Below are 9,627 nucleotides of genomic sequence, written 5' to 3' on the forward strand. Positions count from 1 at the left end.
ATTCAAAAAACTGAAGTAACATCAAATATCTCCTCTGACAACAATGAAATACAACTAGAAATCAATAATAAATGGAATTTTGGAAACTGTACAAACATGTGGAAATTCGACAATAAGCTCCTGAATGGCCACTGTGATCAATGAAGAAATTAAGAAGAAAATTGAAAAATTTCTTGAAACAAATGGTAATGGAAACACAACATACAAAAACCTATGAGACACAGCAAAAGCCATACTAAGAGAGAAGTTTACAGATATAAGCACTGTGAACCCCCAAAATTTGAGACAGGTCTCAGTTAATTTAGAAAGTTTATTTTGCCAAGTTTGAGGATGTGCACCCATGACACAGTGTCATGAAGTCCTGATGACATGTGCCCAAGGTGGTCGAGGCACAGCTTGGTTTTATACATTTTAGGGAGACATGAGACATCAATCAATGTATGTAAGAAGTAGATTGATTCCATCCAGAAAGGTGGGGACAACTCAAAGCAAAGAGGGGACTTCCAGGTCACAGATAGGTGAGAGACAAATGTTTGCATTCTTTTGAGTTTCTGACAACCCTTTCTAAAGGAGACAATCAGAATATGCATCTATCTAGTGAGCAGAGGGATGACTTTGAATAGAATGGAAGGCATGTTTGCCCTGAGCAGTTCTGGGTTTGAATTTTCCCTTTAGCTTAGTGATTTTGGGGGTCCAAGATACTTTCCTTTCACAGCACCTACATCAACAAAAAGGAAAATCTTCAAATAAACAACCTAACAATGCATCTTAAAGAACTAGAAAAGCAACAGCAAACCAAACCCCAAATTAGTAAAAGAAAAAATAACAAAGATCAGAGCAAAGATAAATGAAATTGAAATGAAGAAAATACAAAAGATCAACATTTAAAGAAATTGAAATGAAGAAAATACAAAAAACAACAACAACAACAACAAAAAGCTGGTTTTTTGAATAGTTAAGCAAAATTGACAAACCTTCAGCAAGACTAAGGAAAAAAGACAGAAGACCCAAATCAATAAAACCAGAGATGAAAAAGGAGACATCACAACTGATGTCACAGAAATTCAAAGGATCATTAGTGGCTACTATGAGCAACTATATGCCAATAAATTGGAAAATCTAGAAGAAATGTTTAAATTCCTAGACACACACAACCTACAAGATTGAACTATGAAGATATCCAAAGCCTGAACAGACCAATAAAAAATAACGAGATTTAAGCCATAATGAAAAGTCTCTCAGCAAAGAAAAATCCGGGATGTGATGGCTTCATTGCTGAATTCTACTCAAGCTTTAAAGAGCTAATACCGAGTAGCAGAGGAGGGAGCCAAGATGGCCGAATAGGAACAGCTCCGGTCTACAGCTCCCAGCGTGAGCGACGCAGAAGACGGGTGATTTCTGCATTTCCATCTGAGGTACCGGGTTCATCTCACTAGGGAGTGCCAGACAGTGGGCGCAGGCCAGTGTGTGTGCGCACCGTGCGCGAGCCGAAGCAGGGCGAGGCATTGCCTCACCTGGGAAGCGCAAGGGGTCAGGGAGTTCCCTTTCCGAGTCAAAGAAAGGGGTGACGGACGCACCTGGAAAATCGGGTCACTCCCACCCGAATATTGCGCTTTTCAGACCGGCTTAAGAAACGGCGCACCACGAGACTATATCCCACACCTGGCTCAGAGGGTCCTACGCCCACGGAATCTCGCTGATTGCTAGCACAGCAGTCTGAGATCAAACTGCAAGGCGGCAACGAGGCTGGGGGAGGGGCGCCCACCATTGCCCAGGCTTGCTTAGGTAAACAAAGCAGCCGGGAAGCTCGAACTGGGTGGAGCCCACCACAGCTCAAGGAGGCCTGCCTGCCTCTGTAGGCTCCACCTCTGGGGGCAGGGCACAGACAAACAAAAAGACAGCAGTAACCTCTGCAGACTTAAGTGTCCCTGTCTGACAGCTTTGAAGAGAGCAGTGGTTCTCCCAGCACGCAGCTGGAGATCTGAGAACGGGCAGACTGCCTCCTCAAGTGGGTCCCTGACCCCTGACCCCCGAGCAGCCTAACTGGGAGGCACCCCCCAGCAGGGGCACACTGACACCTCACACGGCAGGGTATTCCAACAGACCTGCAGCTGAGGGTCCTGTCTGTTAGAAGGAAAACTAACAACCAGAAAGGACATCTACACCAAAAACCCATCTGTACATCACCATCATCAAAGACCAAAAGTAGATAAAACCACAAAGATGGGGAAAAAACAGAACAGAAAAACTGGAAACTCTAAAACGCAGAGCGCCTCTCCTCCTCCAAAGGAACGCAGTTCCTCACCAGCAATGGAACAAAGCTGGATGGAGAATGATTTTGACGAGCTGAGAGAAGAAGGCTTCAGACGATCAAATTACTCTGAGCTACGGGAGGACATTCAAACCAAAGGCAAAGAAGTTGAAAACTTTGAAAAAAATTTAGAAGAATGTATAACTAGAATAACCAATACAGAGAAGTGCTTAAAGGAGCTGATGGAGCTGAAAACCAAGGCTCGAGAACTACGTGAAGAATGCAGAAGCCTCAGGAGCCGATGCGATCAACTGGAAGAAAGGGTATCAGCAATGGAAGATGAAATGAATGAAATGAAGCGAGAAGGGAAGTTTAGAGAAAAAAGAATAAAAAGAAATGAGCAAAGCCTCCAAGAAATATGGGACTATGTGAAAAGACCAAATCCACGTCTGATTGGTGTACCTGAAAGTGATGGGGAGAATGGAACCAAGTTGGAAAACACTCTGCAGGATATTATCCAGGAGAACTTCCCCAATCTAGCAAGGCAGGCCAACGTTCAGATTCAGGAAATACAGAGAACGCCACAAAGATACTCCTTGAGAAGAGCAACTCCAAGACACATAATTGTCAGATTCACCAAAGTTGAAATGAAGGAAAAAATGTTAAGGGCAGCCAGAGAGAAAGGTCGGGTTACCCTCAAAGGAAAGCCCATGAGACTAACAGCGGATCTCTCGGCAGAAACCCTACAAGCCAGAAGAGAGTGGGGGCCAATATTCAACATTCTTAAAGAAAAGAATTTTCAACCCAGAATTTCATATCCAGCCAAACTAAGCTTCATAAGTGAAGGAGAAATAAAATACTTTATAGACAAGCAAATGCTGAGAGATTTTGTCACCACCAGGCCTGCCCTAAAAGAGCTCCTGAAGGAAGCGCTAAACATGGAAAGGAATAACCGGTACCAGCCGCTGCAAAATCATGCCAAAATGTAAAGACCATCGAGACTAGGAAGAAACTGCATCAACTAATGAGCAAAATCACCAGCTAACATCATCATGACAGGATCAAATTCACACATAACAATATTAACTTTAAATATAAATGGACTAAATTCTGCAATTAAAAGACACAGACTGGCAAGTTGGATAAAGAGTCAAGACCCATCAGTGTGCTGTATTCAGGAAACCCATCTCACGTGCAGAGACACACATAGGCTCAAAATAAAAGGATGGAGGAAGATCTACCAAGCCAATGGAAAACAAAAAAAGGCAGGGGTTGCAATCCTAGTCTCTGATAAAACAGACTTTAAACCAACAAAGATCAAAAGAGACAAAGAAGGCCATTACATAATGGTAAAGGGATCAATTCAACAAGAGGAGCTAACTATCCCAAATATTTATGCACCCAATACAGGAGCACCCAGATTCATAAAGCAAGTCCTCAGTGACCTACAAAGAGACTTAGACTCCCACACATTAATAATGGGAGACTTTAACACCCCACTGTCAACATTAGACAGATCAACGAGACAGAAAGTCAACAAGGATACCCAGGAATTGAACTCAGCTCTGCACCAAGCAGACCTAATAGACATCTACAGAACTCTCCACCCCAAATCAACAGAATATACATTTTTTTCAGCACCACACCACACCTATTCCAAAATTGACCACATACTTGGAAGTAAAGCTCTCCTCAGCAAATGTAAAAGAACAGAAATTATAACAAACTATCTCTCAGACCACAGTGCAATCAAACTAGAACTCAGGATTAAAAATCTCACTCAAAGCCACTCAACTACATGGAAACTGAACAACCTGCTCCTGAATGACTACTGGGTACATAACGAAATGAAGGCAGAAATAAAGATGTTCTTTGAAACCAACGAGAACAAAGACACCACATACCAGAATCTCTGGGACGCATTCAAAGCAGTGTGTAGAGGGAAATTTATAGCACTAAATGCCTACAAGAGAAAGCAGGAAAGATCCAAAATTGACACCCTAACATCACAATTAAAAGAACTAGAAAAGCAAGAGCAAACACATTCAAAAGCTAGCAGAAGGCAAGAAATAACTAAAATCAGAGCAGAACTGAAGGAAATAGAGACACAAAAAACCCTTCAAAAAATCAATGAATCCAGGAGCTGGTTTTTTGAAAGGATCAACAAAATTGATAGACCGCTAGCAAGACTAATAAAGAAAAAAAGAGAGAAGAATCAAATAGACACAATAAAAAATGATAAAGGGGATATCACCACCGATCCCACAGAAATACAAACTACCATCAGAGAATACTACAAACACCTCTACGCAAATAAACTAGAAAATCTAGAAGAAATGGATACATTCCTCGACACATACACTCTCCCAAGACTAAACCAGGAAGAAGTCGAATCTCTGAATAGACCAATAACAGGCTCTGAAATTGTGGCAATAATCAATAGTTTACCAACCAAAAAGAGTCCAGGACCAGATGGATTCACAGCCGAATTCTACCAGAGGTACAAGGAGGAACTGGTACCATTCCTTCTGAAACTATTCCAATCAATAGAAAAAGAGGGAATCCTCCCTAACTCATTTTATGAGGCCAGCATCATTCTGATATCAAAGCCGGGCAGAGACACAACCAAAAAAGAGAATTTTAGACCAATATCCTTGATGAACATTGATGCAAAAATCCTCAATAAAATACTGGCAAACCGAATCCAGCAGCCCATCAAAAAGCTTATCCACCATGATCAAGTGGGCTTCATCCCTGGGATGCAAGGCTGGTTCAATATACGCAAATCAATAAATGTAATCCAGCATATAAACAGAGCCAAAGACAAAAACCACATGATTATCTCAATAGATGCAGAAAAAGCCTTTGACAAAATTCAACAACCCTTCATGCTAAAAACTCTCAATAAATTAGGTATTGATGGGACGTATTTCAAAATAATAAGAGCTATCTATGACAAACCCACAGCCAATATCATACTGAATGGGCAAAAACTGGAAGCATTCCCTTTGAAAACTGGCACAAGACAGGGATGCCCTCTCTCACCGCTCCTATTCAACATAGTGTTGGAAGTTCTGGCCAGGGCAATCAGGCAGGAGAAGGAAATAAAGGGTATTCAATTAGGAAAAGAGGAAGTCAAATTGTCCCTGTTTGCAGATGACATGATTGTTTATCTAGAAAACCCCATCGTCTCAGCCCAAAATCTCCTTAAGCTGATAAGCAACTTCAGCAAAGTCTCAGGATACAAAATCAATGTACAAAAATCACAAGCATTCTTATACACCAACAACAGACAAACAGAGAGCCAAATCATGGGTGAACTCCCATTCACAATTGCTTCAAAGAGAATAAAATACCTAGGAATCCAACTTACAAGGGATGTGAAGGACCTCTTCAAGGAGAACTACAAACCACTGCTCAAGGAAATAAAAGAGGACACAAACAAATGGAAGAACATTCCATGCTCATGGGTAGGAAGAATCAATATCGTGAAAATGGCCATACTGCCCAAGGTAATTTACAGATTCAATGCCATCCCCATCAAGCTACCAATGACTTTCTTCACAGAATTGGAAAAAACTACTTTAAAGTTCATATGGAACCAAAAAAGAGCCCGCATTGCCAAGTCAATCCTAAGCCAAAAGAACAAAGCTGGAGGCATCACACTACCTGACTTCAAACTATACTACAAGGCTACAGTAACCAAAACAGCATGGTACTGGTACCAAAACAGAGATATAGATCAATGGAACAGAACAGAGCCCTCAGAAATAATGCCGCATATCTACAACTATCTGATCTTTGACAAACCTGAGAAAAACAAGCAATGGGGAAAGGATTCCCTATTTAATAAATGGTGCTGGGAAAACTGGCTAGCCATATGTAGAAAGCTGAAACTGGATCCCTTCCTTACACCTTATACAAAAATCAATTCAAGATGGATTAAAGATTTAAACGTTAGACCTAAAACCATAAAAACCCTAGAAGAAAACCTAGGCATTACCATTCAGGACATAGGCGTGGGCAAGGACTTCATGTCCAAAACACCAAAAGCAATGGCAACAAAAGACAAAATTGACAAATGGGATCTAATTAAACTAAAGAGCTTCTGCACAGCAAAAGAAACTACCATCAGAGTGAACAGGCAACCTACAACATGGGAGAAAATTTTCGCAACCTACTCATCTGACAAAGGGCTAATATCCAGAATCTACAATGAACTCAAACAAATTTACAAGAAAAAAACAAACAACCCCATCAAAAAGTGGGCGAAGGACATGAACAGACACTTCTCAAAAGAAGACATTTATGCAGCCAAAAAACACATGAAGAAATGCTCATCATCACTGGCCATCAGAGAAATGCAAATCAAAACCACTACGAGATATCATCTCACACCAGTTAGAATGGCAATCATTAAAAAGTCAGGAAACAACAGGTGCTGGAGAGGATGTGGAGAAATAGGAACACTTTTACACTGTTGGTGGGACTGTAAACTAGTTCAACCATTGTGGAAGTCAGTGTGGCGATTCCTCAGGGATCTAGAACTAGAAATACCATTTGACCCAGCCATCCCATTACTGGGTATATACCCAAAGGACTATAAATCATGCTGCTATAAAGACACATGCACACGTATGTTTATTGCGGCACTATTCACAATAGCAAAGACTTGGAACCAACCCAAATGTCCAACAATGATAGACTGGATTAAGAAAATGTGGCACATACACACCATGGAATACTATGCAGCCATAAAAAATGATGAGTTCATATCCTTTGTAGGGACATGGATGAAATTGGAAACCATCATTCTCAGTAAACTATCGCAAGAACAAAAAACCAAACACCGCATATTCTCACTCATAGGTGGGAATTGAACAATGAGATCACATGGACACAGGAAGGGGAATATCACACTCTGGGGACTGTGGTGGGGTCGGGGGAGGGGGGAGGGATAGCATTGGGAGATATACCTAATGCTAGATGACACATTAGTGGGTGCAGCGCACCAGCATGGCACATGTATACATATGTAACTAACCTGCACAATGTGCACATGTACCCTAAAACTTAGAGTATAATAAAAAAAAAAAAAAAAAAAAAAACTAGTAGCAGAATTGAAAAAAAAAAAAAAGAGCTAATACCAATCCTGCTCAAATAGTTCCAAAAAGTAGAGAAAGGGATACTTCTAAACTCATTCTACAAGGCCAGTATTACCCAGATACCAAAACCAAAGACACATCAAGAAAAAGAGAACCACAGGCCAATAACGCTAATCAATATTAATGCAAAAATCCTAAAAAAAAAAAAAAAAAAAAAAACTAGCAAACCAAATTCAAAAGCATATTAAAATGATCATTCATCATGACCAAGCAGGATTTATCACTGGGATGTAAGGATGGTTCAACATATGCAAATCAATCAGCGTGGTACATCATATCAACAGAATGAAGGGCAAAAACCATGTGATCATTTCAACTGATGCTGAAAAGGCATTTCATGAAATTCAACATCCCTTCATGATAAAAAAAAAAAACTGGTATAAAAGGAACATACCTCAACATAAAAAAAGCCACCATATATGACAGACCCACAGCTAGCATCATGAATGGGGAAAAACTGAAAGCCTTTCCTTGAAGGTCTGGAACACGACAAGGATGCCCACTGTCACCACTGTTATTCAACATTGTATTGGAAGTCCTAGCTAGAGCAATCAGACAAGAGAAAGAAGTAAAGGGCATCCAAACTGGAAAGGAAGAAGTCAAATGATTATTGTTGACTGATGATATTACCTTATATTCGGAAAACCTAAAGACTCCACCAAAAAACTATTAGAACTGATAAATTTAGTAAAATTGCAGGGTACAAAAATTGGTAGCATTTCTATATGATAACAGTGAACAATCTGAAAATGAAATAAAAAAGTAATCCCATTTACAATAGCCACAAATAAAATAAAATACCTTATAGAATGGCTGCTATCAGGAAAATATAAGATAACAAATGTTGGTGTGGATGTGGAGAAATGGAGCCCTTGTACGCTGTTGGTGGGAATGTAAATTGGCATGGCCATTATGGAAAAAAGTATGGAGATTCCTTAAAAAATTAAAAATAGAACTACCTACTAACTAGAACAATTAACAACTCCACTTATAAATATATATCCAAAGGAACTGAAATCAGGATCTCAAAGAGATAACTGCACTCTCATGTTCACTGCAGCATTATTCACATAGCTAAGATATGGAAACAATCTAAATGTCTGTCGACAGATGAATGGATAAAGAAATTGTGATAGACACACACACACACAGACACACACACACACGGGAATATTATTCAGCCTTAACAAAGAAGAATATCCTGCCATTTACAACAACACAGATAAACCTGGAGGACATCATGCTAAATGAAATAAGCCAGATGCAGAAAAACAAATACTGCTTGATCTCTTATAAGTGGAATCTAAAATAGACTCACAGAAGCAGAGAATAGAATAGTGGTTGCTAGGAGCTAGGGGTAGGAGGAAATGGGAAGACATTGGTCAAGGAGTACAAAGTTTTGTTAAGAGTTGAGGGTGTCCAGGTTCTTGGCATCTTGAAAAAATTGGACAAAACGTACAAACAGAGCAAGGAAGGAACGAAGGGATTTATTGAAAATGAAAGTACACTTCACAGTGTGGGAGAGGGCCCGAGCATGGGGGCTCAAAGGCGTCGTGACAGAATTTTTAGGAGTTTAAATACCCGCTAGAATATTCCATTGGTTGCTTCGGGTATGCCCTATGTAAATGGAGAGGATGAAGTGAAGTTACGAAGTCATTTACGGTGTACGCCCGATGGAGAGAATATTTCCAGTTATAGCTGAAGTGTGAATCGCCCTTATGTTCCTGGCCTTCGGACCCTATTTACCTGCCTCAGTTTCAGTAACGAAAGTGAATAAGTTCTGGAAATGCAATGTACAACAAACAATATGACTATCGTTAACAGTATTGTATTTTATACTTGAAATTTACTAAGCAGGTAGATCTGATGTGTTCGCACCACAAAAAAAAGAAAAGAAATGAAATGATAACTGTGTGAGATGTAGATATATTAATTAGCTTGACTGTGGTGATTACTTCATAAGGCAAGTGTATATCAAATCATCAAGTTGTATACCTTAAATATATACAATTTTAACTGTCAATTTTTTAAAAAAAGGTGAAAAATCACACTGTTTAGAGAATTTTCTATAACATGCACACTATTTACTGCAGGAATTTGGTGAAAATATACGAACACCCTCTTAGTCTTTCTTGGGAAACTCTTGCATTAAATCCCTTTTACGGACAGCCAGCAGCTAGATTTAGCAAACCTTTATCAGTTCTCTGTGGA

General features: G+C 39.9%; 1 protein-coding gene across 1 annotated transcript in view; it reads right to left on the minus strand.

Annotated features, from left to right (window-relative positions):
- ADAM20 (ADAM metallopeptidase domain 20) overlaps positions 1-9,627 on the minus strand; it is a 57,095-nt gene that overhangs the window by 23,616 nt on the left and 23,852 nt on the right. The window lies entirely within an intron of this gene.

Source organism: Homo sapiens, chromosome 14, assembly GCF_000001405.40.
Source record: "Homo sapiens chromosome 14, GRCh38.p14 Primary Assembly".
Lineage (NCBI taxonomy): Eukaryota > Metazoa > Chordata > Mammalia > Primates > Hominidae > Homo > Homo sapiens.